This window comes from Homo sapiens, chromosome 1 (assembly GCF_000001405.40).
Source record: "Homo sapiens chromosome 1, GRCh38.p14 Primary Assembly".
Lineage (NCBI taxonomy): Eukaryota > Metazoa > Chordata > Mammalia > Primates > Hominidae > Homo > Homo sapiens.
In genome coordinates this window covers 201445497-201470867 of record NC_000001.11, presented here as the reverse complement: position 1 = coordinate 201470867, position 25371 = coordinate 201445497, and the positions used below count along the sequence as shown (strand labels likewise).

The following is a 25371-nucleotide window of genomic DNA, read 5'->3' as shown; positions in this document are numbered from 1 at the left end:
GGAGGGCAGGGCTGGCAGGCAGGCTGAGACCTTGTGGGTCCCTCAGGTAGGGCCGTGGCCACCTCGAGCTCCCTCTTCTGCTGCTCTCTGGGCCTCAGGAGACACCTGTCTTTGTCTTTTCTTTAATGCCACTGTCTATTCCCTCTCCTGGAGGGGCATTCTGGGAGTTAGGAGTTAGTTGTCGTCACACGTGTGTGTGTGTGTGTGTGTGTGTGTGTATAAAGAGTTATGGATGAGACACTGACAGTTCCCTTCTCTCATCTCCTAACTTTGGGACTGCAGAGGAGCGCACTCCTATCCCCACAACAGGACCTTCCCTGTATCTGTTAGGCTCTGCTCTTTGGGCAGGAGGATGGCAACACAGGGTGTAAGTACAAAGAGGTCTTATTACTGTCATTATTATATATCATTACTCCCGTAAGAATCTATTATTAACATGTTGATGAATAGACCTTTAAGAAACTGTGGGCCTGGAGGAACTGATCAAGATGGGGACAGAATGAGGACCTAAGAGAGCCCTCTTCCAGTGCCTGGCTTAATCTCAGGGCCCCCATCATTCTCTAAAGGGAATAAGAGTGGGGAGAGGGGAGGAAGAACATTTCTTGAGACTCAAGAGTTGTCAGGTCCTGTCTTGGGTCTTTCACAAATGTTATCCAACTTATTCATCAGGACAACCCCATGAGATGAGAATAAATTAATCCTCCTATTCGACAGATGAGGAAATTGACGGAGGTCAGTAAAGTTGCCCCAGGTGGGCAGGACACAGCCAACAAGGGAGAAGAGGTTTGAACTCAACTCTGCAAAGCTCTTGTGTTTACACAATATTCTAGCCAGAACAGAAAGAGACCTCTCCCTCTGCGTTCCCCTCCAGCTCTGTATGCGGGAGAAGTCCATTCTTGGGGAAGGCCGAGGGAGGACAGAATCTGCGGAGCGGAAGGAGCAAGGTTGGAGCTGCGCTTACACCTGGGACTGGCTGTGCCATCGGTCCAGCGTCGGCGCCTGCAAGTGTGCGGTGGAGAGGACTGCAGACAGTGGCATCCCCAGGTCACGGAGGGGGTCCCTCCTCCCCCACTACGAGGAGGGCATGAATGACCTCAAGCCTCAGCTCTCCTTTGTTGGCACTGGCTACTCTCTACAGGCCTCCCCGCGCAATGCATGGGGGTAGGAGTAGGAGCAGGTGAACTGTCCAAGCAGAGGCAGCGATGGACAGCCTCTCTTGGGTGCTGCACAGAGAAATCGGGCGATGGAGGAGGAACCCAACATGGGCTTGATGCAGAGGCTGGGGGCCCCATGGCGTGCCAAGTAACCAGCAGCTGTCTGACGCCTAACATGCAACTGGTGCCACTGCGCGTTCGCCAAGCAAGCCCACCCCCTTGCTAGCAGCGCGCTCTCCAATCGAGGAGATGCGCCTTCCCCCTCCCTTCCCCGCCATCTCCCCCTTCATTCAAGGCCTGGGGGAGCTGCGGTTCCGAGAAGCGGCAGACGGCAGCCAGAAGGCTTGGGCTGTTGAGTAAGCAGCCCCCTCTCAGTCCCGGCCCTCCCCGCCCCGCGCCCTGCGCCTCCAGTGAGTGACTGAGCCCCCGCTGCGGCCCCGCCCCCGGGGCCCTGCCGGAGCTGGTGCGCGGCGCGGAGGGGAGGGCCGGCCAGGGTAGGAATGCGCTGCGGGCGGGCGGCGCAGGAGGCGAGCGGCGGAACATGTAAGGGCACATCCCGCGAGCTGCCGCCCAGCGCGCAGACAGAGCCCAGGGGAGCAAGAGAACGGGCGGGCGGTGGGGCTCACGGCCTAGGGAGGCGCGGAGGCATCTGGCAGAGGCGGGTCGGGCTGGGCCAGCTGGGGTAGAGCGGAGGAGCGGGTGCCGGCTGAAGCGGGGCGGTGGGCGCGGAGCGCGCTGGGGGCACCGACACCACCTCACCGGCAGCCGGGTGCTGAGGGCCGCGGTGTGGGTGCGCGGAGCAGTCAGGGCGCAGGTGGGCAGCGCGCACGGCCTGCCAGCCCGGGGCGCCAGAATCCTGCGCTGCGGGGCCGAGAGGGGCGCCGCGCCCGCCGCAGCCTGGAGCTTTCCGCGAACCTCGGGGCGCCCATGACGGCGGCGGCGACGGCTACCGTGCTCAAGGAGGGCGTGCTGGAGAAGCGCAGCGGCGGGCTGCTGCAGCTGTGGAAGCGGAAGCGCTGCGTCCTCACCGAACGCGGGCTGCAGCTCTTCGAGGCCAAGGGCACGGGCGGCCGGCCCAAGGAGCTCAGCTTCGCCCGCATCAAGGCCGTGGAGTGCGTGGAGAGCACCGGGCGCCACATCTACTTCACGCTGGTGACCGAAGGGGGCGGCGAGATCGACTTCCGCTGCCCCCTGGAAGATCCCGGCTGGAACGCCCAGATCACCCTAGGCCTGGTCAAGTTCAAGAACCAGCAGGCCATCCAGACAGTGCGGGCCCGGCAGAGCCTCGGGACCGGGACCCTCGTGTCCTAAACCACCGGGCGCACCATCTTTCCTTCATGCTACCCACCACCTCAGTGCTGAGGTCAAGGCAGGTAAGCCCCCGGGGGACTGGGCCCTCTTCTCTCCTTCCCTCCCTTCTCTTTCCCCTACAGAGAGAATGAGGACTAGCATTCTACTTCAGAGCCGGACATCTTAGGGGGGAGGTTCCTGGGGCCAACTGAGGGCATGGGAGGCTTGGGCCAGTGGCCAACCCAGCAGATCCGGACTTTCCCCTGAGGCACCAGGTTGGCCGGTCCAGAATGTGATCCAGGTGTGTGAGAGGAAGATGGAAGCCCTGGGAGGGGGATACCTGGGTGAGATGAGCCTTCTTTCAAGTTGGTTCAGCCCTGACTCAGGTGGAAGGAAGTAGAGGGAGGTTGGCCTGCACATTGCCCCAGGCTGTGGGCCTCTGCTTTCCACGCAGAGCAGGGCTCCTGGACTTCGGCTTTCTGGCAGCTGAGGACAACCGAGGGTGGGGACGCGGATCGTGGAGGCCGACCCTCTTTCCCTCTAGGTTGAATGCTTGTCATAAAGTTTGAGCATTGAATTGATGTAGAAAGACAGTATCTCCCAGATGGCGAAGGCACCATCAAGGGTTGCAAATAGAGCCAAGGAGTCCGGCTCCCAAGGTGGGGCCTCAGTGGAAGGTGGGGCCTCAGTGGGCCGCCTTGGCTGGACTGGGCCTGAGGGATCCAGCTCCTCCTCTACATATGTGTGTGTGTGTGTGTGTGTGTGTGTGTGTGTGTGTGTGTGTATGGTTTGTTGTTGTTGTTGTTGTTGTTTGAGACAGAGTCTCGCTGTGTCACCCAGGCTGGAGTACAGTCGTGTGATCTTGGCTCATTGCAACCTCTACCTCCTGGGCTCAAGCAAATCTCCTGCTTCAGCTTCCAGAACAGCTGGGATTACAGGTGCCTGCCACCACACCCTGCTAATTTTTGTATTTTTAGTAGAGATGGGGTTTCGCCATGTTGGCCAGGCTGGTCTTGAACTCCTGACCTCAGGTGATCTGCCTGCCTCGGCCTCCCCAAGTGCTGGGATTACAGGTGTGAGCCACTGCACCCAGCCTATATATATATTTTTGAGACAGGATCTCTACCTGTCGCCCAGACTGGTGCAGTAGCATAGTCATGGCTCACTGCAGCCTCAACAGCTTCAACCTCTTGGGCTCAAGCGATCCTCCCACCTCAGCCTCCAGGTAGCTGGGACTACAGGCACACGCCACCATGCCTGGCTAATTTTTTTTTTTGTAGATTTGGGGTTTCCCCACGTTGCCCATGCTGGTTTCGAACTCCTGAGCTCAAGCAATCTGCCCACCTTGGCCTCCCAAAGTGCTAAGATTACAGGTGTAAGCCACCACACCTGGTCCCCATTCTTGACAGTGGGTTTTGAGCCCTAGGGCTCACTGTTAGGAGAGCAAGGGAGCTGAAGGATAGGCAACTGCGCCAGAGGCTGGGCCACTGATGCCAAGGGGTGGGGGCCTAGCTGTCTACCTGCCCCTGAGTGCCAGTCAGGCCTGGCTGGGCCAGGGAAGGAGAAGCTGGAGGAGGGCATGGGGCACTGGGGCAGGGTGGGTGGGTGCAGCAGGATGGGGTCATGAGTTGTTATTTGTGATGTCTTAATCCTCTATGAGCAGTAGGGCAGGGAGTGGGGGGCGGATTTGTGGTCAGGAAGGCCCAGGGGAGGGGCCAGGAATAGAATCTGGAAGCCCTGGCTCTCAGCCCTGTGCCCTCTTCCCCAGATGCCACTCCCTTCTTGTGAGAAGTAGGAGTAGGGCTGAGAAAGGATTTAGCCTTCCTTCTAGCCTTAATTTTTCCAGTGGAAACCTAGATCCTTCTCTCCCCACTACCACCTCCTAGGCGACCTTACCCGCCTGCAGATGTCTTCAACAGTAGAGAGTCCTAGTGAGCCTGGGGCCCCATCTAGTGCCATACCCCACTTTGATGGTCCTGTTAATGCCCTCCCACATTGTAGTTAGGGTTTAGCTGAGAAGTGGGGTATAAGGCAGACCCCCTGTGCTGAGGATTGATCCACATTGATCCCTCAGGTCTTGGGGGCCTGGGAGGAAGCAGATTCCTTTACCACAGTACGTATGCAAAAAATGTTTTCCATGTTTATGGAAAAGGCTGGGAAGTGCTGGTGTAAAATGCCCAAGCTCATAATAGATACTCCTTTCTCCATTGTTGCCCCTGCTCTAACTGCTGTTCTTTCTTGCCAGCTTCGTTGTTCCCTCTGGCTTGTGGGGGCACGGCTGTGCTCCATGTGGCAAGGTGGAAGGCATGGACGTGTGGAGGAGGCGCTGGAGCTGAAGGAATGGACGAGCCCTGGGAGGAGGGCAGAAGGCTACGCAGGGCTGAGGATGAAGATGCAGCCCCTGGATGGTCCCAGACTCTCAGGACATGCCCAGCTCAGGGGCTTCGAGCCACAGGCCTGGCCTCATATGGCATGAGGGGGAGCTGGCATAGGAGCCCCCTCCCTGCTGTGGTCCTGCCCTCTGTCCTGCAGACTGCTCTTAGCCCCCTGGCTTTGTGCCAGGCCTGGAGGAGGGCAGTCCCCCATGGGGTGCCGAGCCAACGCCTCAGGAATCAGGAGGCCAGCCTGGTACCAAAAGGAGTACCCAGGGCCTGGTACCCAGGCCCACTCCAGAATGGCCTCTGGACTCACCTTGAGAAGGGGGAGCTGCTGGGCCTAAAGCCCACTCCTGGGGGTCTCCTGCTGCTTAGGTCCTTTTGGGACCCCCACCCATCCAGGCCCTTTCTTTGCACACTTCTTCCCCCACCTCTACGCATCTTCCCCCCACTGCGGTGTTCGGCCTGAAGGTGGTGGGGGTGAGGGGGGGTTTGGCCATTAGCATTTCATGTCTTTCCCCAAATGAAGATGCCCTGCAAAGGGCAGTAACCACACAGTTTGCTGAGTGAAATTCTTTGCCCACAAAGACCCAGGGCTTGGAGCATCTCTCTCTTTATCCTTAATCTCCCAATTTGCAACCCATTCTGAAGTCTCCAGCCTGGATAGGCAGAGACACTAAAACCCCAGTAGACAGGGCCTTGGTGGTCCTAGGAAGGAGGGCCCATAGATTCTGGACCGAGGGATGTCAAGCTGGTCAGTTCAGTCCCTATGAATGTCTCTTCTACAGGAGGCTACCCTGCCCCTGCTACCCTGGGAGAAGCCTCAGCTTTCTGGGCAGAGTTTGTCTCCCTGTCATTTATACTCTCAGGCTTTATACATTTACACAGTAAGTTCTCCCTCCTGGAGGGTTAAAAGGAATAATTTCAACAGGGTGAAGGCCTGGCACGGTGGCTCACAACTGTAATCCAAGGACTTTGGGAGGCTGAGGTGGGTGGATCACCTGAGGTCAGGAATTTGAGACCAGCCTGGCCAACTTGGTGAAACCCTGTCTCTACTAAAAACAAAAATTAGCCAGGTGAGGTGGCACACACCTATAGCCCCAGCTACTGGGGGAGGCTGAGGCAGGAGAATTGCTTGAACCTGGGAGGCAGAGGTTACAGTGAGCTGAGATGGCACCACTGCACTCCAGCCTAGGTGACAAAGCAGCAAGACGCAGTCTCAAAACAACAACAACAAAAAAAACGGGAAAACAGGTACAGACAATAGCTGCCTGGAGTTGTACAGAAACTTGATTGGGTAACCCTGGACCTTTCCAGGCTGTGGCCAGCAGTTGACCCTGCCTGCCTTTCCTCCATTGTTTTCCCATGTCTGACCTTCCCTGTTGCAAAGCAGTGGCCTACTACAGGGTCTCTCTGGAGGGAGCAAGGAGGCTCAGTGGCCCCATTCAGCAATTCGAAGTCCCTTTAATTGTTTTGTGCTTCCAACCTGTTTTGTTCCCGTTCAGATTTCTCTCGCCTTCCAATAAAAACTTCCCTGTCCTGTGCCCCAGTCCCTCAGAGTCCACAAGAGGTTCAACTTGCTCATCTGATGTGTGAATTACATCACACAGTTGAATGAGAATTTGTTAATTACAACAGAACTTTTATAAATATGTCACTTACTGTATCCAATTGTACAATTGTCCATGGGTGGCTTAATCCCACCATGGCAAATAAGCGTCTGTTTATGCAACCCTAATCAGTGCTGAGAAAGATCAGAGCTCAACTAGAATGCTGTGATCAATTGGTGATGCCTGCCATGGGCTTTGGAAGAAAGGTGGGGAGAATGGCGGCATTATCTGGGGGGGTGGGCGTGGCTGGAGAGAAGAGGGTTGCCATCCTATATAACAGCAGCTTCTAAATAGCCTCTAAAATAGAATCTTTGGGCGGGGCGCGGTGGCTCACGCCTGTAACCCCAGCACTGTGGGAGGCCGAGGCAGGCGGATCACGAGGTCAGGAGACCAACCTGGCTAACACGGTGAAACCCCATCTCTACTAAAAATACAAAAAAAGTTAGCCGGGCGTAGTGGCAGGCACCTATAGTCCTAGCTACTCGGGAGGCTGAGACAGGAGAATGGCGTGAACCCGGGAGGCGGAGCTTGCAGTGAGCCGAGATCACGCCACTGCACTCCAGCCTGGGCAATAAAGCAAGACTCCATCTCAGAAAAAAAAGAAAAAAAAATAGAATCTTTGCTCTTCAATCAAACCGGAGGGTAACTGATGGTGGGGGTTCAGGCATAAGGAAAAGACGTATCCAGGCACTCAGAAATAGGGGAGTGGGCCGGGCGCGGTGGCTCACACATGTAATCCTAGCACTTTGGGAGGGCAAGGCGGGTGGATCACCTGAGGTCAGGAGTTTGAGACCAGCCTGGCCAACAAGGCGAAACCCCGTCTCTACTAAAACTACAAAAATTAACTGGGTGTGGTTGTGCACGACTGTAATCCCAGCTACTCGGAAGGCTGAGGAAGGAGAATCGATTGAACTCTGGAGGTGGAGGTTGCAGCGAGCGGAGATAGCACCACTGCACTCCAGCCTGTGTGACGGCAGTGAGACTCCATCTCAAAACAACAACAACAACAACAACAAAAACGAAATAGGGGAGTGTTAGTGAACAGATGGGGTTGAGAGGCAAGACATCCAGCAAACTAAATGCCTTTACAGGCTAGGCACTGTGCTCGACTCTGGGGATGCAGAAGAGAAAGACAAGATCCAGTCCTTGCCTCAAGGAGCCAGGTTCTGGTGACATCAGTCAGTGCTAACTGGTGCCCATAGAACTGGCCACCAGGCGCCAGGGGAGCACTGGGCAATACTTTCTCTGTCCAGCACTAGGGGTCATTCTCAGAGCTTGGCTGCAAAGGGCAGTGTAGGGTATAGTATGAGAGACATCAAGGGCAGAGGGCAGGTGGAGGGTGGAGGGGGAAGCAGGCTCTAGTTTCTGGCACTCTGCTTTTTTGGAACACCAGCCCTGTTGGTTTAAAGTATGTTGGTTCTTGACCAAACCCAGCTTCCGTTTCTCTTGCTAGGAGAGTCCCAGCCCCTTGAAGAGTCTGCTGCTGTTAGAGCCCTTGACACAGACCCTAGAACGCAGTTCTAGGTATGCAGCAGTGTAGGGGCTGGTGGTTGCAATGGGGTGATCATTTACTATCATTTGTAAGAGCCTGGGAGCTGTCTGAGTATCCTAAGAGCCCTCACAGCACAGAGGTCTGGGGTTCAAGACCAGGTTTTTTGTTGTTGTTGTTGGTTTTTTCTTTTTTGTTTGTTTTGTTTTGCTTTTTGAGACAGAGTCTTGCCCTGTTGCCCAGGCTGGAGTGCAATGGCACGATCTCGGCTCACTGCAACCTCCGCCTCCCAGGTTCAAGCAATTCTCCTGCCTCAGCCTCCCAAGTAGCTGGGATTCAGGCGCCCGCCACCAGGCCTGGCTAATTTTTTGTATTTTTAGTAGAGATGGGGTTTCAGTGTGTTGGCCAGGCTGGTCTCGAACTCCTGACCTTGTGATCCACCCGCCTTGGCCCCCGAAAGTGCTGGGATTACAGGCGTGAGCCACCGTGCCCGGCTAAGACCAGGTTTTAAAAAAGATCCGTGACCTCTTTGGGGAGTCTTTGCCTCTCTGATGGAGGAGGGGCCATCCTGCTTCCTGGGTTCACGGGTGTTCTCACTGCTCTGGTTTTCATGACTTTGAATTTCCAAGAAGGAGCAAAGGCCCTTACCCCGGGAAGGCTTGGCTAGACCTCAGAGTAGGGTCAAGACCTCTTTGGGGGCACAAACAGGCTCTGATAGTGCCAGCAGACATGCATGAGATGGAAAACCTTTGCTCAGTTGGGCCTGTGAGGCCAGGGAAGGGCTGTTGCCACCAACTCTCCCCATGCTTCGGCAGCCCCAGCGTGGCCTCACCCCCACCCGATACGTGAGTCATCCATGGGAACATGAGACAGGGCAAGTCTCAGCCAGGCAGCTGGGAGTCCGATGAGGTGGGGTGGGGAGACCGAGGGAGAAGGGATGGGCTTGCTGTGGTCAGGGTGAGCTGGGGTTGGGAGCTAAGGCTTTAGCAAGAGTGAGCCTGTTGCAAGGGTGAGAATGGAGACCAGTGAGGAGAGCCAGAGTGAGAGTCCATGAGCTGGAATCGCAGCAGGAAGGAGTAGGGGCAGATAGACAGGGCGTTACCGTGTGCAATCCTGAAGTCTGTTGGGGATGTATAGGTACTGTGGGCAGCTGTCACACCAGGGCCAGGACCCAAGGACCCTGGCAAGACTGGCTATACAGGAACATACTGTAAGGCTGCACAGAGAGCCCTGGTTTCACCTCCCTCAGTCTCCTGCCTCAGTGGGTCCACCATGGTTCACCGAAGTGATCTGTCCAGAATTCAATTCATTCTTCTGCTAAAACTGCCAGCGCTTTCCCCACTGCATTGGGAGGATGCCCACTTGTCAAAAGGGTCTTCTCTCCACTATCAGGGCTATCTCTCCAGTGTTTGTCTCTACGTGCTCCACGCCCGGCCCCAGCATGCAATCCACCCCCATTCCAGGACCTGGGAAAGCTGCCTCACACTGCCAGGCCAGTGTACCCCCACTCTTGCTACATGCTTCTGTATCACTGGCTCAGCTCTCTCTCATGTCACCACCTCTGAGAAGCTTCTCTGAGTGCCCTGCCTACAAGGCAGGCTGAGTAACTGCTCACTTCTCTCTGTGCTGCCATACCTCCTCTATTAGTCACACTGCCTTGTGATTGCTGATTTATGCGTCTGCCTGTCCAACTAGACTGGTCAGTTTCTGCACTTGTTATTTGTATATTCCTGGTGCCTCAGAGTACCTGGCAAATAGTAGATTCTAATAATAAAAATGACAAGTGGTATATAGTGTTTACTCCGTGCAAGATATTGACCCAAGAACTGTAAAAAAAAATTTTCTTTTTTTAAGACAGGGTCTCATTCTGTCACCCAGGCTGGACTGCAGTGGCATGATCTCAGCTCACTGCAACCTTGACCTGCTGCTGGGCTCAAGTGATCCTCCCACCTCAGCCTCCTGAATAGCTGAGACCACAGACGTGCACCACCATGCTTAGCTGGTTTTGTATTTTCTGTAGAGATGGAGTTTCATCATTTTGAACTCCTGAGCTCAAGCGATTCACCTGCCTCAGCCTTCCAAAGTATTGGGATTACAGACATGAGCCACCATGCCCAGCCTATACAATTCTTAAATCATGTAACGTTTCAACAACCCTGTGAGGTAGGTGCGATTATCACGACTCCCATATTTTACATTAAGAAACTGAGGCCCAGAGAAGTTAAGTGGCTGGTTCAGAGTCACATAGCAGCTAAGTGGTGGAGCCAGGAGTCAATGTGGTCACAGTGGGACTCTAGGTAAGTGCTCTTAACCCAACACCAAATAGATTCTTACTGTTTGTGAGTAAATAAGTAAGTGAATGAACCCAGCATTTTGCTGGGAGAAAGGAGGTCAGAAGAGAGAGAGTTGGTGAGGATCAAGCCCCGAGAGGGCAGAGAAGGGAATGGTCTGTGGGCTGGGGGTAGGGGAGGCTTCATGGAGAGGATGACTGGAGCCAAGTCCTGAAACAAGGGTGGAGATTAACTACAGGAAAGGACCCAGAGATGTGCCCCATGACCTGGGAGGCTCTGTGCATGCTCACGAGAGCTAGGCCTGTGGTGAAAATAGCCTAGAAGAGCCGATGGACTCCTTCCTGGTTATGAAGGAGCAGTGAGAACTCTGGGGGAATAAATGGTGTTCCAGGTTCAGAACCTTGTCGCTGTATTGGCCTGAGATGCTCTTTGTCTAAGGACCTGGGCACAGGGTCACCTTAGCCTGCAGGGACAAACGCTCAAGGGATCAGAAGCTGTGATCCCATGTGGCGGCAATCCTGGTCCCAGAGGCCTAGAGGCAGCACTCATGCCCTGCTTGCTGGCTGACCAACCAGCCTGGTTGGCCTGGAATTCTCCAGTTTTAACACTGGAAGTTCTGCATCCGGAGGAGCATCTCAGTCCTAGGCAAACTGTGGTAGTTGGCCACCCTACCCACTGCCCCAGGGACAGGAGGCCTTGTAAAACCCATCCTCATGATCTCACCAGTCAGCTCTGCCCACAGCACTCGGCTCCATTGAATGGGACCGTACAGAGTACAAGCCTGTGGGCAACAGCGCTACAGCCCTGGGGCATCACCCATCAGTGACTCAGATGTCATCAGCATTTCCTGCCATCTCAGGGGAGAGACCCAGGCCCCCAGCTGCAAAGAAGAAAGATAGCCAGGGGTCTCTTGGGGGCTCTCCAGTCAGCTCTGGGGGCCCTACTGGAAGCCAACTGCAACTCACTTTAACTCAACCCAACTTCAGTGCTTTCTTAAGCATGAGTGAGTATTTGCTGCACAGGGGCATAAGCCCATCCCACCCAGACCCTGGCTTTAAAGAGCTCCCAAGGTAACTGAGCCAGAGAGGGCAGCATGCAAAAGGAGGAGGACAGTAAGGTGCAGGCAGAACTATAGGAGGTAGGATGGAGGTGCAGGGAACATTTGAGCTGGCCCTTTTAAGGGAGCGTATAATTCTGACCATCAGAGAGAGGAGGGATGGCGTTCCAGGTGGAAGAAATCACATGTGCAAAGGTGCCAGGACCAGAGAAGGTGAGATGGGACAGGAGACAAAAATGGTGTGCACAGAACCTGAGGAACAACAGCCACACACAGAAGAAGTGGGCTGGGGGTGTGGGCTTCTTTCCGTAGGCAATGGGGAGCCCATCACAGAGGTCTGTCACACACACAGACACACACACACACAGACACACACACACACAGACACACACAGACACACAGACACACACAGAGACACACACCCACAGACACACACCCACAGACACACACACAGACACGCATGTACCCCTTATTTTTATTTTTTTATTTATTTATTTTTAACTAACCCCTTATTTTTATTATAAAAATAAGTTAATTGAAGAAAAATGTGAAAGCACAGAAAAAGAACAGTCACATTTGTGTTTCTATCCCTCAGAGATAGTCTTTGTTAGCATTTTGGTGTATTTTCTTCTACATCTATTTTGATGCAATCATATAATATGTAATTGTTTTTCATACATGGGGTCATACTGTGTACTCTATTATATTCTGCTTTTTTGCTCTGTCCCAGGCTGGAGTACAGTGGCATGATCTCAGCTCACTGCAACCTCCGCCTCCCAGGTTCAAGCGATTCTCCTGCCTCAGCCTCCTGAGTAGCTGGGATTAGAGGCACATGCCACCATGCCTGGCTAATTTTTGTATTTTTAGTACAGACAGGGCTTCACCATGTTGGCCAGGCAGGTCTTGAACTCCTGAGCTCATGATCTGCCCACCTCGGCCTCCCAAAGTGCGGGGATTACAGGAGTGAGCCATCGCACCTGGCCCCCATATTCTGGTTTTTAATGTGTCAATATATTGTGGTTATAAGGCCATACCATTACGTGCCTCTCAATGCCTGTATGTTATTCTGTTCTCTTTACTATTATTTATATAGCAAATCAATCCTTTATTGTTGGACATTCATGTTCTTTTTCATTCTTTCTCTCTTACGTATGAGGCTTCAATGACCATTTGCATATTTAAATCTCCATTTTTGTCTCCGGTTGTTGTTTCTTCAGGGTAATTCTTTTTTGTTTTTGTTTTGTTTTGTTTTGTTTTGTTTTGTTTGTGACGAAATCTTGCTCTGGCACCCAGAGTGGAGTGCAGTGGCATGATCTCGGCTCACTGCAACCTCTGCCTCCCAGGTTCAAGCGATTCTCCTGCCTCAGCTTCCCGAGTAGCTGGGATTACAGGCACCTGCAACCACGTCCAGTTAATTTTTGTATTTTTGGTAGAGATGGGGTTTCACCACGTTGGCCAGGCTGGTCTTGAACTGCTGACCTCGTGATCTGCCCACCTTGGCCTCCCAAAGTGCTGAGATTACAGGTGTAAGCCTGCACCCGGCCATCTTCAGGGTAATTCTTTAGGTGGAATGGCTGGGTCCCCCTGTGGGGTGGGCAGAGGTGATCCTTGGTGGCAGTGATGGAGAAGGGAGACCCTGGGAGGCAGGAAGTGAGTTAGGAGTAGAGCTAATGAGAGCTTGATGACCGGAGGCTGTAATGGAAAGAGGAGGTGGGAGGAAATGAGAGCAACTAGTTAGGAAATGCCCACTGCGGGAGAGATACTGAAGTACAAGGAGGCCTGCCAGTAGCAGTTAAAAACTTAAGCTCTAATCACAGATCTGAGCGTGAATGAATCCCCAAGGTGTCTCACACTAACCACATGACTTGGGCAAGTTATTTGGCATGCCATTAAAATGGGAATGATGATAGCCCCACTTCCTAGGATCACTGTGAGAATTAATTGAGAGAATGCCTGTAAAGTAGATAAAGTACACAGATAGTGCACAATAAATGTTTGTTATTACAGTAGTATAATCATCCTCCTAGTAACTGCTTTGCCTAATCCCTATTTAGAAAACTGTACGTAATTAACAATTTAAATTAGTAACACTTACTGAGTGCTTTTACCTAATCCCAATTCTAGCCTTCATGCATAATGGTCTAAATTTCAGACTGTGCTAGGTTGATGTTCCTTCCACACAAGTGTCCTCATTTTACAGATGATGAAGCTGAAACTCACAGAATTTGAAGCAGTTGCCTGAGATTCTGCAGCCAGCCAGTGGCTTAGAGTGGATTCCTGCCCCCAACTCTGGATCCTAACGCTCTTCTCACCACCTCATGGCACCTCCCTGGCATTTGAACTTCGTGGTTGAAACTGAGGGTAAAGAAAGCAGGCGCGGCTCGTCAAGATCCCCTAGTCATTGGGTTGTGCTGCTCTGTCATTCTCCTCACCAGCACCGCTAACTGCACTCCATTCCGATGGCTCATGGCCCTTCACACACACAAAGGCCCTGCTCCCCTGCCAGGGAAGAGAGAGTAGGTTGCACAACTTGTCTGCATTCACAGAGCATGTCACCAAGCAAGCAAGAAGGAGAACACACAAGTTTGGCCCTGGAAAACCCTTGGCTGACTCTGCTGAGAGGAAAGTGGGCCTCCATGCTAACTGAGACAGTGCAGATAGAGGAACTGAACTGTGAAAATAGCTCTAAAAAGCCAACAGCATCTATTAATTAGACTTGACTGGGGTGTTCAGGGCTGCGGTTTGGAATTGTCAGCTCTTTATGCAAAGGGGACTTTAGATCACTCTGTGCTCTTACCCCATTTCCAAAACACACATAACCAACGAATGTTTCTCACAGTCTGGGTGGTCTCCCACATGGGTCCTGCCCGGTCTGTTTTTCCAGTGGGACAAAACATAGGCTTCTCCCTGGAAGATTCCTGGAAGACCCCTCCCCCCACCTTCACCTTTCAGTTCTGTAAGCTTCCTCATCAGTGCTGTGTTTCTTTCCAGAGCTCTGACTCAAAGAGCCCTCTGGTGTGACCTCATCATATTATCACAACAGCCCTGTGAGTTTGGAAGAGGTAGGAGGATTTCCTGATAGATTAAGGATGGTCGTTCTAAGGCTCTGAGAAGTAAAGTGTCTTCCCCATGGTTAAGGTGGGGTCCCTAATCTCACTACCCAGTCTGGAGTTAGAAAGACAAATGTTCCTGGCCTGGCGTGGTGGCTCATGCCTGTAATCCCAGCATTTTGGGAGGCTGAGGTGGGAGGATCACTCGAGGTCAGGAGTTCGAGACCAGCCTGGCCAACATGGCAAAACCCCGTCTCTACTAAAAATACAAAAATTAGCCCAGCACGCACTGTAGTCCTAGTTACTCAGGAGGCTGAGGTATAAGAATCGCTTGAACCCGGGAGGCGGAGGTTGCAGTGAGCCAAGATCATGCTACTGCACTCCAGTCTGGGTGACAGAGCAAGACCCTGTCTCAAAAAAAAAAAGAAAAAAAAAAAAAAGACAGACAAATGTTCCCATCTAGGGCCCTCTGCTGAAGGCTGTGGAATGCAGGCATCTTGGCCAGTTGGGAATTTAGCGAGGGGATCTCCTCCCTGCTGTGTCTCCTGGCCTCTGCTAGGTACCTGGCAGCTCCTGTCAGCTTAGCCTGCAAGTCATGTTTGCAGTCAGGATCCTCTGCTAGTGCCCACTGCTGGACAGATATTTCAAAATAAAGGTACTAGGAAATCCAGGGTGCCTGGAAGGATGTGGGAGGACCTGGGTCCACTTTGCTTTTCCCAGTGCCTTCTGAGCTCCCAGATCCAAAGCTGAGAGGTCTTCTGCCTGCACAGTCTGGTGAGGGGTCCACCCTGACCCCAGCAGCCAAACCCTTGCTCTTCTGCTCAGCTGCTCATGGGCCTGGGCAGAGCCTGCTGCTGGAACTGACTTGAAGCAGCCCCCTGGTTCCCTGCCCTAGACTGGAAGGTGCAGGAGGGCAGGGTCCTGTACTTTTTTTTTCTTGTGCTCACTGCTGGATTCTCAGGTCAGTGGCTGGCATATAGTGGGTGAATGCTCAGCAAAGACTCGTGGAAAGAATGAACATGAAATTCTGCATGTGGGTAGTGTGCATGCGTGCACCTGTGTGTGTGTGTATGAAATACTGTCTTGGGGGCTTATCGGCTGTGAGGGCAAGTGTTTTCTGTTTGTAGGTGGATGTGAGCTGGGCTCCTGGGAGCTCCTGGGACACTTCAGATGAGTGGAGCCGGGAAGAAATCCGGCAGGTATGCAGTCGGGGGGAATGCACTGAGAGGACACCTAAGTGGCTCTCAGCAGGAATGCCGGCAGCCTGTACCCTCTTTCAGGCTGTCCATTACCCGGCCCTGTGACCTTGGACAACTCCCTCCTTGCTGGGTCTCACTTTCCTCACTTATAAAGCAAAGAGGTTGAAGTAGGTCAGTAGGTTCTAAATCCTGCAGATGGTCAGACTCTCCTGGGTGCCTGTTAAAAGCACAGAACACTGTCACTACCTGCAGCCCACTGAATCTGAACCTCTGGAGCTGGCCTAGGTTTCAGTATTTTTAATAAGTCCCCATAGTGATTCTGAAGTTGCCAACCCAAGGGAAGGATGCTTAATGATCTCAGACAGTGATATTCATCAAGAACTCAGGGTACGAAAAACTATGGCTGCTGTCCTGGTCCCTGGGGTTTAGGGCGCAGGTGCTTGGTGGAGATTTATTGAATGAAGCCTGATGAATGGTGTTACACATACACACACACACATGCACACACACGCCCTGCAAGCTTATATACATCCACTTAGCCTCACATGCCAGGGTCCTGGGGAGCACCATCTGCAACAAGGGCAACCTCATTCCTCCATTTCCTGTGTCTTCCTTAGACTGGTCTGGTGATTTTCTTTGTCAGGTCTCATTCATATCCAAATATTCACTGGAGAAGAGAGCTCCGTGGGCAGCTGGTTTCTGGTCACACTCCTACTGGTCTGGGGGTCAGTTTTCATCAATATAGAATAGGAACTATTAGCCTCTCTCCCTGCAGGAATACTATATACATGAACAAGGTCAAAAATACAACACAAATAAGCATGTAGCAAAAAGTAAACCCGGGCTATAGGCAGATAGAGCGTTGTTGATTTCCTTGGGCTGCTCTCTGTGGTGGCAGCCCTCTCTGCTATGGTCTTTCCCATAGAACTCTGTGGTCTTCTTGAGCCTCTGTTCCTGTGTTTACCTAGCTAGTCCCTCCTGCTCCTTTGAGACTGAGTTCTAGAGTAACGGTGACAGGCAGACTCTAAGATGCCCCTGCCCATAATCTCTGTCTCCCAGAATTCACCCCCTTGTGTAATCCCTTCCCTCTGAGAGTGAACTGGCCTCGTGACTTGCTTCTAACCAATAGAATGGGATGGGATGCCACTTCTGTGGTTAGGCTATATAAGATTGTGGTTTCCATCTTGCTCATCCTGACTCTCTCATTTGCTCATTTTGATGAAGCCATGTTTTTTTTTTTTCTTTGAGATGGAGTCTCACTCTCTCACCCAGGCTGGAGTGCAGTGGCATGATCTTGGCTCACTGCAACCTCCGCCTCCTGGGTTCAAGCGATTCTCCTGCCTCAGCCCCCTAAGTAGCTGGGATTACAAGCACATGCCAACATGCTTGGCTAATTTTTTTTTGTATTTTTAGTAGAGATGGGGTTGCACCATGTTGGCCAGGCTGGTCTCAAACTCCTGACCCCCGTGATCTGCCCACCTCAGCCTCCCAAAGTGCTGGGATTACAGGCTTGAGCCACTATGCCCAGCCTCAAGCTGCCATGTTTTAAAGGCCTACTTGGCAATGAACTGAGGGTAGCCAGGGTGGCCTCTGGTCAAAGCCCACAAGAAACTGAATCTACCAACAACCTTGTGAGCTTGGAAGAAGGTCCTTCCTCACTTGAACCTTCAGATGAGACCCCATCCTGGCAGACACCTTGAATGCAGCCTTGTGATGGACCCTGAAGCAGAAGACCTAGTCAAGCCATGCTTTAATTTGTGACCCATAGAAGCTGTGAGACCATATGTGTGTGTTGTTTTAAGCCACTAAATTTGTAATAATTTGTTACACAGCAATAGGTAACTAATATGGAATCTTCTTTGGGAAGCCTTGCCAGGGTTCTTCTCTTACCCCTAGTCAGAGCCAAGTGCCCCTTCTCTGCATACATCTGTCATTACCCTTTACACACTCTTACTGGTATAGCCTTGGTTTACTTGTTTATATCCCTCTCTAGGTAGGAACCACCTTCTCTTTACCATTTATCTCTAGTGCCTAACCCTGTGCCTGGCACACAGTAAGAGTTCAGTGTTTGCTGAGTGATTGAGATTATAGAATCTCTATCCCTCTTTACCTCCCCACCTTTCCCCAGATTTAGCAGTTTGCCTTCTCAAAAAATAGGAGCAGGTCACCCTGAGATTACTGGCTATTAGAAGGCACCAGAGTGCCCTGGGCTCTGGGAGGGGGCCAGGCTATCACAGGGAAAGTGCTCAGGGCTCAGCCCCATGGTCTTGGAGTCCACGCGAGTCACCAAAAGACTGAGAGCTGGTGGAAGAAGAGCTGGGTTTTTCTGCTTCCCGTTTGGGCAATGCACCTTCTCTAGCTGGCCTGCTTAGCATAGGACTTCCTACCTTCCTACCTCAGGGCATCCTGGACTGTTCTGAGGCTGTAATGTCATTTTTTGTTTGTTTGTTTGTTTTTGTTTTGAGACCGAGTTTTGCTCATGTTGCCCAGGCTGGAGTGCAATGGTGCAATCTCGGTTCACTGCAACTTACACTTGAACCTCCTCCCAGGTTCAAGCAATTCTCCTGCCTCAGCCTCCCAAGTTGCTGGGATTACAGGCATGTACCACCATGCCAGCTAATTTTTTTTTTTTTTTTTTGTATTTTTAGTAGAGATGGGTTTTCACCATGTTGGTCAGGTTGGTCTTGAACTCCTGACCTCAGGTGATTCACCTGCCTTGGCCTCACAAAGTGCTGGGATTACAGGTATGAGCCACTGCGCCCAGCCTGGAGTGTCATTTTTTGTTTTTTGTTTTTTTTGAGATGGAGTCTCGCTGTGTCGCCCAGGCTGGAGTGCAGTGGCACAATCTCCGCTTACTGCAAGCTCTGCCTCCCAGGTTCATGCCATTCTCCTGCCTCAGCCTCCTGAGTAGCTGGGACTACAGACGCCCACCACCAAGCCCAACTAGGAGTGTCGTTTTTGACCAATTAAAAGTGCTATCCCATGGCAGGGCAGATGAACTCCTTCAAAAGGAAATTCTCCAACACAACATAGAAAAAGAGCCCCTTCCTGAGGGAGCCAGGGCCGGGCACATGTTCTCCTCTGTTCTATCGGGTGAGGAGGGGGTACTGGATTCCTGGGGCTGCTGTAAGAAATTACCCCAAACTTGGTGGCTTAAAATAACAAAAATTCCTTCTCCTGCAGTTCTGGAGCTAAAGATCCGGAATCAGAATCAGTGGGCCAAAGTCAAGGTGTTGGCAAGGCTGTGCTCTCTGTAGTGGTTCTGGGTGAGAAATGATGTCTTGCCTCTTTTAGCTTTGGGTGGCTCCAGGTGTCCTGTGGCTTACGGGATAGTACTTTTCACCTCTGCCTCTGTGGTCACATTGTCTTCTCCTCTGCTGTCTATAATCTCCATGTGCTTTCCTCTAATAAAGACATGTGATGAACTTTACAGCCCACCCAGCTCATCCAGAATAATCTCCCCATCTCAAGTTCCTTAACATCATCACATTTGCAAAGTCTTTGCCATATGAGGTAACATCCACAGGTTCCCGGGATTAGAAAGTGGACCCTTTGGCTGGGCGCGGTGGCTCACTCTTGTAATCCCAGCACTTTGGGAGGCGGAGGCAGGCGGATCACAAGGTCAGGAGTTCGAGACCTGGCCAATATGGTGAAGCCCCATCTTTACTAAAAATACAAAAATTAACCGGGCATGGTGGCATGCGCCTGTAGTCCCAGCTACTCAGGAGGCTGAGGCAGGAGAATTGCTTGAACCCAGGAGGCGGAAGTTGCAGTGAGCTGAGATTGTGCCACTGCACTCAGCCTGGGCAACAGAACAAGACTCTGTCTCAAAAAAAAAAAAAAAAGAAATAAAGGAAGTGGACACTTTGTGGGGGCTGCCACCAAGGGTGTGCCCAGCAGGGAAGAAACCGAGGCACAGAGCAGCATAACATCACATTTTCACCTGAAATGGAAGCCTAGTGCCTGAACTCCCAGACCAACTTCCCTGCCACAGGCTACCGTCTCCAAATGAGGTGAGGCCCGGGACTGACAGGGCCAGCTCCCCATCTGCCCATTTTGTTCTGCAGAGGCCAGCCTGCTTTCTCCTGGATCCCGAGGCTCCTCTTTCCTGCCCCCTCCTTTCTGCTGGCGCCTGCGTGGGAGGCCCTGGCTGCATGACGGGAGTCTGGCCTCAGAGCAAGGACTCAGAGGCATCCTTCCCCAACACAGGCTTGGTAGCCCCACGGTGGGGGAGGCTGTAAATCCCCCGCCCCTGCCCACAGGAAACAGCTGGGTCCCAGGCACCTCCTGCAGACTTAACCCTTTCCAGAACTGCGAACCCCTCCCTGGGCCTGAGCAGCTGGGAAGGGGTGGGGTGAGGGGGCTCTTCAGGTCCAAGCAGAGTTTTTGCTCATGTGTGTGGTGCTGGCAAGTGGCCCCACTATTGTTTATTGAGGGGACTTAAGCCTGCCTGTCCTGCCAGTAGCCAGGAAGGGCTGGGTCTGGTTAACCCTTGGTGTGGCTGTCAGGACCAGGGCAGGAAGGGTGTTGCCTGGGGTGCATGAGCCTCCTCTTTGGTCGTCGCTGGCATCCGAAAGGCCTTTGTCTAGCCCCAGACTATACTGGGCTTTGGGATGAACGCCGGACCCACTGGAAATAACTGTACACTGGCCCCAGGGCGGGGCTGCTGAAATCTAGCAGCCCTCTCCTTGCTAGACTGTAAGTGTCCAGGATGTGAGGACCTTGGTTATCTCTGGCAGAAAACAAATTATTTGTAAATGACCCAAGTGATGCTGGAAGTTTCCAGCTTTCCAAAATTATTTTTCTTCCCCTACCTCTTCTAACACAGGATCTCTTTGGGAATGTTGTAACATTTTGAAGGGTGTGAAAATTCTCAGTAAAGTTAAGTCATTACACACCTAATAATAATAAGGATAATTATTATTATAGTCTCCAAGAAGCTGGAAGAGGATACTCTTATCTCCAGGTGGGTGGGAAGGCCATCCATTAGCACGTTGATGATTGTAATAAAATCTCTGCTGTGTGGCCTGGTAATAAATTTTCATGAGGTTTTCATGACCACTATCTTATTTGATCTTACTTGCCCCCTGTAGCAGAGATAATCCCTTCTCACTTTGTGGATAAGGAAATTAAGAATCAGGGAAGTTTAATATGTAACTTGCTCAAAATTGCAGATTGTGTAGTGTGGGAGCTGGGATCAGAGCTCAGGTCTGTGGGACCTGAAAACTGGCCCTGGCACAGCTGCAGGAAGACGCTGAAGGCACCGTAGAAGAAGTAGGGCCAACAGGAGGGAAAGGGAGCAAAAATGGGAATATGGGGTCCAGAGCAAAGGCTTGGGAGTTTTACTAATAAATCCTCGGCCAGGCGTGGTGGCTCACGCCTGTAATCCCAGCACATTTGGAGGCCGAGGTGGGTAGATCACTTGAGGCCAGGAATTCGAGAGCAGCCTGTCCAACAAGGTGAAACCCCGTCTGTACCAAAGATACAAAAATTAGCCAGGCATGGTGGTGAGTGCCTGTAATCCCAACTACTCAGGAGGCTGAGGCAGGAGAATCGCTTGAACTCCAGAGGCAGAGGTTGCAGTGAGCCAAGATAGTGCCACTGCACTCCAGCCTGGGTGACAGAGCGAGATTCCATCTCAATAAAATAAAATAAAATAAAAATAATAATAAAATAAATCCTTATCCTGAGTGACTTGGAATGGTAGCTGGGCAGTACTAGCATTTTGTTGAAAGGTAATTGTGGGTCAGTACTCTGTTAGGTGCATTGCATGATTTAGTAAATAATTCATATAATAAAGACAGGGAAGGAACAAGGATGGGATGGGGATTATCAAGATAGAAGATGGAAACTGAGCTTTTTCAGGCAGGCAATGGCAGGAAGCAGGGTGCGGAGGCACCTTGATTAACAATGGGACCCAGCAGCCTGGAAGGATCCAGAACAAATCCTGGCACATGTCTGGCCATTGTGGAGTGGGAGGAAGGTATCAAAACCTGCCACTCCAGGAGATGGGCTGGAGTGTGAGCCTCGTCCCTCTGGCCTGGCCCTGATGAACCATGATCTGCCCCTCCCCCAAGCCACAACACAAAGACAATAGTCCCAGCGAGCCTCCTTGGGACAGGACAGATCGTGCCAGGCTGCCCAGCAGGACAAGGGGCCCTTGTGCAGGCCTCAGCTTCAGATCCTGCTCCACCCTCTCTGCGTTGGGGGGTGGTCGGAAGTTCAGATCTTGTGATGGGAGGGAGGCTGAGAGTCTTTCTACAGGGCCAGTGCTGGGGCCAGGGTCACCCAGAGGTCTCCAGGGAGCCAGGGGTGAGGCTGGGTAGCAAGTTTTGGGTTTCTGGAGTCTGGGGGAGGCAGGAGATTGGCTGCTCTGGGTGGCTTCTTGTGGAGCTTGAGAAGTGGCCTTCTTTGAATAGAAAGGAACAGAAGTTTCCTGACCTTTCTCATTTGATCCTCACAACCCTGTAGGGTATAAATGCAAAAGATGATTACCCCTATTTTACAGATGAGAAAACAGGTTCAAAGAGAAGGAAGGCTTTACCTGAGGCCACCCAGGGAGTAAGAGGAAGTGCCAGCATTCACAGCAGCTCTGGGAGTGGGGATGGAGTATGTGTGGTGAATTTATTCGAGAGGCCCGAAGGCCGTCTGAAAGCGTGGGTGCCAGGGTCCTTTTTGCAGTAAAGGTCAGGGTCCTCCCATCACACCACCTGCTCCGTCCCTTCCCACTGCCCCCCCACCCCCATGCCAGGGTCAGCCGCTGGGAGCCCAGGCCAAGCCTGCAACATTCCAGGGAAGGGAGCTGTGGCTCAGGCTGGAAGCTGGGTCAGGGGGCACAGTGGCCCAGCCAGACGGCCTAAATGTACTCAGCTTTTCCTTGAAATTCCACACACCCTGGGCGTTTGGCAGGAGCCCGGAATGCACTTCATCTGAACAATTTGTCTTTCATGGTGCATTTGCATCAATTACCCCATTGTCCTTTCGCCTTTTCTTGGACCACTCTGGCGGTCGAGGCGCGCCCTGTGTGTGCTGGGAGCTGCCGGATGTAGGGTGCGGGGAGGGTGGGGCTGCCCCCTGGTGGCCTAACCTGCACTCACCCACCTAGATGTCTGCCTGAGCTGCTTAAGGAGCAGTCAGATTCCATCCCACAGGATGACTCGTCTGACCCCAGCTCCCCACTCCCTAAACTGTTCCCAGGGTCCCTGGGTGGGGGCGGAGAGAAAGATTATGAGAGGCGAGATGGCACAACACAGGCAGGTCAGGCAGTTCATGAAAGGGAGGGTCCATGGATCCAGGGCTTGGGATCAGCCCCCACACTGCCCCCAGCACCTGTGGAACCTTAGGTGATTCAGCAACCTCTCTGGGCCTCAGGGAGTTATTTGTGAAATAAGAAGCAATAGTGTGCAATAGTGCTAACATCCTGGGCGTGGAAGCTTCATGTATGGGGTTTGAATCCTGGCTCTCCCATTTGCTGGCTGGGTGCAAGATGTTTATCTTGATAAGCCTCAGTTTCTTGCTCTGTAGAATGATGAGAGCAACAGAGTTGGTCCCTGTTATTTGTGGATTTCATATTTGCAACTGAGTGTACTTGCTGAAATTTATTTGTAACCCCCACATCAATACTTGTGGAGCTGTGATCGCTGGCAGCTATACAGAGTGTCAAAAAACTTGAGACAAATAAGATGACACTTTGGCTTCTCATTTCAGTTCTCATCCAGTAAGCAAGGGTCCTTTTCTTGGTCTATTTAGTGCCTTTTTTTTTTTTCATATCTGTGGTTTTTGTTGGTGATTTTACTGTTCAAAATTGCCACCAAGCATAGTGCTGAAGTGCTGTCTGGCGTTCCTTAGTGCAAGAAGGCTGTGATGTGCCTTGTGGAGAAAATCTATGTGTTAGATAAGCTTTGTGCAGGTATGAGTTATAGTCTGTTGGCTGTGAGTTCAATGTTAGTGAATCAACAATAAATATTAAATATGACACCTTTTTGTTTTTTTTTTGAGAGAGGGCCTCACTCTGGTCACCCAGGCTGGAGTGAGCTGGTGCCATCACGTCTCACTGCAGCCTTGACCTGTCAGGCTCAAGAGATCTTTCCACTTTGACCTCTTGAGTAGCTGGGACCACAGGTGCTCACCACTGTGCCTGGCTAATTTTTAAAAAGTTTTTTGTAGAGACGAGGTCTTCCTAGGCTGGTCTCAAACTCTTAAGTTCAAGGGATCCTCCTGCCTCACCTTGGCCTCCTGAAGTGCTGGGATTACAGACAAGTGCCACAATGCCTAAATAAGGTGTCCTTAAACAGAAACACATATAATACAAGGTTATACATTGATTTTATGTATTTATTTATTTATTTATTTATCTATCTGAGACAGAGTCTTCTCTGTCGCCCAGGCTGAAGTGCAGTGGTGTGATCTCAGCTCACTGCAACCTCCACCTCCCGGGTTCAATAGATTCTCGTGCCTTAACCTCCCAAGTAGCTGAGATTACAGGCATGTGCCACACCCGGCTAATTTTTGTATTTTTTAGTAGAGACAGGGTTTTGCTATGTTGGCCAGGCTGGTCTCGAACTCCTGGCCTTAAGTGATCTGCCTGCCTTGGCCTCCCAAAGTGCTGGGATTACTTACAGGCGTGAGCCACGATGCCCAGTCACAAACTAATTTTAAAAATTGATAAAAAACATTGTGATCACAGGCTTGCAAGAACATAATCCTGTATTTCCACTAGGAGCAATTGGTCAGTACTTGCTAATTCTGGGTTCCCAGAGACTTTATAGAATGTAACTACCCAAATAACAAGAATCTACCGTACTTACAGTTTTTCTCCAAGGCTTGAATATGTCAAGTGTGGCATTGTAGCAATTGCAGTTAATACTGTTCCCTGGTGTATAAGCTCTCGTGTTGATTCTCCTGAAGCCCCTAAGCTTCATGTGGGGGTCAGCTGCCTGAAGGTGGGATCCCTCCAGGAGTACACACAGACACATCACCAGCCTCATCTTCGCTGCTCATGCCTGAAACTTCTACCATGAATACTTTATTCATTCAGTTTCATTAAAAGGCCAACGTCTCTCTTGATGATTCACAGGGCTCTCTTCATTGACATTATCTTATTTGGCCTTCACAACAATTGCGATGGTAGTGTCATTGTTCCCATTTATAGATGAGTCTGAAGTTCAGAGAGGATAAATAATCCGACCAAGGTCACCTGGTTTGTTGATAGCTGTATTAGTCCCGTCCTCACACTGCTATAAAGAAATACCTGAGACTGGGTAATTTGTAAAGAAAAGAGGTTTAATTGGCTCATGGTTCCACAGGCTGTACAGGAAGCATGGCAGCATCTGCTTCTGGGGAGGCCTCAGGGAGCTTTTACTCATGGCAGAAGGCAAAGCGGGAACAGGCGTCCTGCATGGTGGGAGCAGGAGGAAGAGAGAGAGAGGGGAGGTGCTACACACTTAAAAATTTTTTTTTTGGAGACAGGGTCTCACTCTGTTGCCCAGATTGGAGTGCAGTGGCACAATCTCAGCTCACCGCAACCTCTGCCTCTCAGGCTCAAGCAATTCTCCTGCCTCAGCCTCCCGAGCAGCTGGGAATACAGGGATATGCTACCATGCCTGGCTAATTTTTGTACTTTTAGTAGAGATGGGGTTTCACTATCTTGGCCAGGCTGGTCTTGAACTCCTGACCTCAAATGATCCACCGGCCTTGGTCTCCCAACGTGCTGGGATTACAGGCGTGAGCCACCGTGCCCAGCCTACACACTTTTAATTAACCAGATCTTGTGATAACTCACTCACATCACTCACTCACTATCACGAGGATAGCACCAAGGAGATGGTGCTAAACCATTCATGAGAAAGCCACCCAC

General features: G+C 51.7%; 1 protein-coding gene across 2 annotated transcripts, besides 11 other annotated features; it reads left to right on the top strand.

Moving 5' to 3' along the window:
* Positions 1295 to 2009: an enhancer, noted in NCBI's record as "H3K27ac-H3K4me1 hESC enhancer chr1:201437987-201438701 (GRCh37/hg19 assembly coordinates)". NCBI's record gives its function as "activates a minimal SCP1, AML or CMV promoter by ChIP-STARR-seq in naive and primed H9 embryonic stem cells {active_cell/tissue: H9 hESC(naive and primed)}" and the evidence as "EXISTENCE:reporter gene assay evidence [ECO:0000049][PMID:30033119]".
* Positions 1295 to 2160: a biological region, named in NCBI's record as "H3K27ac-H3K4me1 hESC enhancer GRCh37_chr1:201437987-201438701".
* Positions 1411 to 1640: a silencer, noted in NCBI's record as "silent region_1690". NCBI's record gives its function as "represses an Ori minimal core promoter by ATAC-STARR-seq in GM12878 lymphoblastoid cells {active_cell/tissue: GM12878}" and the evidence as "EXISTENCE:reporter gene assay evidence [ECO:0000049][PMID:35858748]".
* Positions 1661 to 1780: an enhancer, noted in NCBI's record as "active region_2319". NCBI's record gives its function as "activates an Ori minimal core promoter by ATAC-STARR-seq in GM12878 lymphoblastoid cells {active_cell/tissue: GM12878}" and the evidence as "EXISTENCE:reporter gene assay evidence [ECO:0000049][PMID:35858748]".
* Positions 1680 to 6590, top strand: PHLDA3 (pleckstrin homology like domain family A member 3). Of its 2 annotated transcripts, NR_073080.2 has the most exons (3): positions 1680 to 2523; positions 3285 to 3382; positions 4690 to 6590. NR_073080.2 is itself a non-coding variant. In NM_012396.5 (2 exons), the coding sequence occupies exon 1, from the start codon at positions 2082 to 2084 to the stop codon at positions 2463 to 2465; it is 384 nt and encodes a 127-aa protein (NP_036528.1). In that variant the 5' UTR covers positions 1680 to 2081; the 3' UTR covers positions 2466 to 2527; positions 4690 to 6590. The 2 variants fall into 2 exon arrangements, 1 of the variants encoding a protein (NP_036528.1); NM_012396.5 differs by lacking the exon at positions 3285 to 3382 and having other exon boundaries at positions 1680 to 2527.
* Positions 1851 to 2160: a silencer, noted in NCBI's record as "silent region_1689". NCBI's record gives its function as "represses an Ori minimal core promoter by ATAC-STARR-seq in GM12878 lymphoblastoid cells {active_cell/tissue: GM12878}" and the evidence as "EXISTENCE:reporter gene assay evidence [ECO:0000049][PMID:35858748]".
* Positions 2231 to 2370: an enhancer, noted in NCBI's record as "active region_2318". NCBI's record gives its function as "activates an Ori minimal core promoter by ATAC-STARR-seq in GM12878 lymphoblastoid cells {active_cell/tissue: GM12878}" and the evidence as "EXISTENCE:reporter gene assay evidence [ECO:0000049][PMID:35858748]".
* Positions 2441 to 2500: an enhancer, noted in NCBI's record as "active region_2317". NCBI's record gives its function as "activates an Ori minimal core promoter by ATAC-STARR-seq in GM12878 lymphoblastoid cells {active_cell/tissue: GM12878}" and the evidence as "EXISTENCE:reporter gene assay evidence [ECO:0000049][PMID:35858748]".
* Positions 8707 to 9289: an enhancer, noted in NCBI's record as "H3K4me1 hESC enhancer chr1:201430707-201431289 (GRCh37/hg19 assembly coordinates)". NCBI's record gives its function as "activates a minimal SCP1, AML or CMV promoter by ChIP-STARR-seq in naive H9 embryonic stem cells {active_cell/tissue: H9 hESC(naive)}" and the evidence as "EXISTENCE:reporter gene assay evidence [ECO:0000049][PMID:30033119]".
* Positions 16375 to 16424: an enhancer, noted in NCBI's record as "active region_2316". NCBI's record gives its function as "activates an Ori minimal core promoter by ATAC-STARR-seq in GM12878 lymphoblastoid cells {active_cell/tissue: GM12878}" and the evidence as "EXISTENCE:reporter gene assay evidence [ECO:0000049][PMID:35858748]".
* Positions 19553 to 19672: an enhancer, noted in NCBI's record as "active region_2315". NCBI's record gives its function as "activates an Ori minimal core promoter by ATAC-STARR-seq in GM12878 lymphoblastoid cells {active_cell/tissue: GM12878}" and the evidence as "EXISTENCE:reporter gene assay evidence [ECO:0000049][PMID:35858748]".
* Positions 22743 to 22862: an enhancer, noted in NCBI's record as "active region_2314". NCBI's record gives its function as "activates an Ori minimal core promoter by ATAC-STARR-seq in GM12878 lymphoblastoid cells {active_cell/tissue: GM12878}" and the evidence as "EXISTENCE:reporter gene assay evidence [ECO:0000049][PMID:35858748]".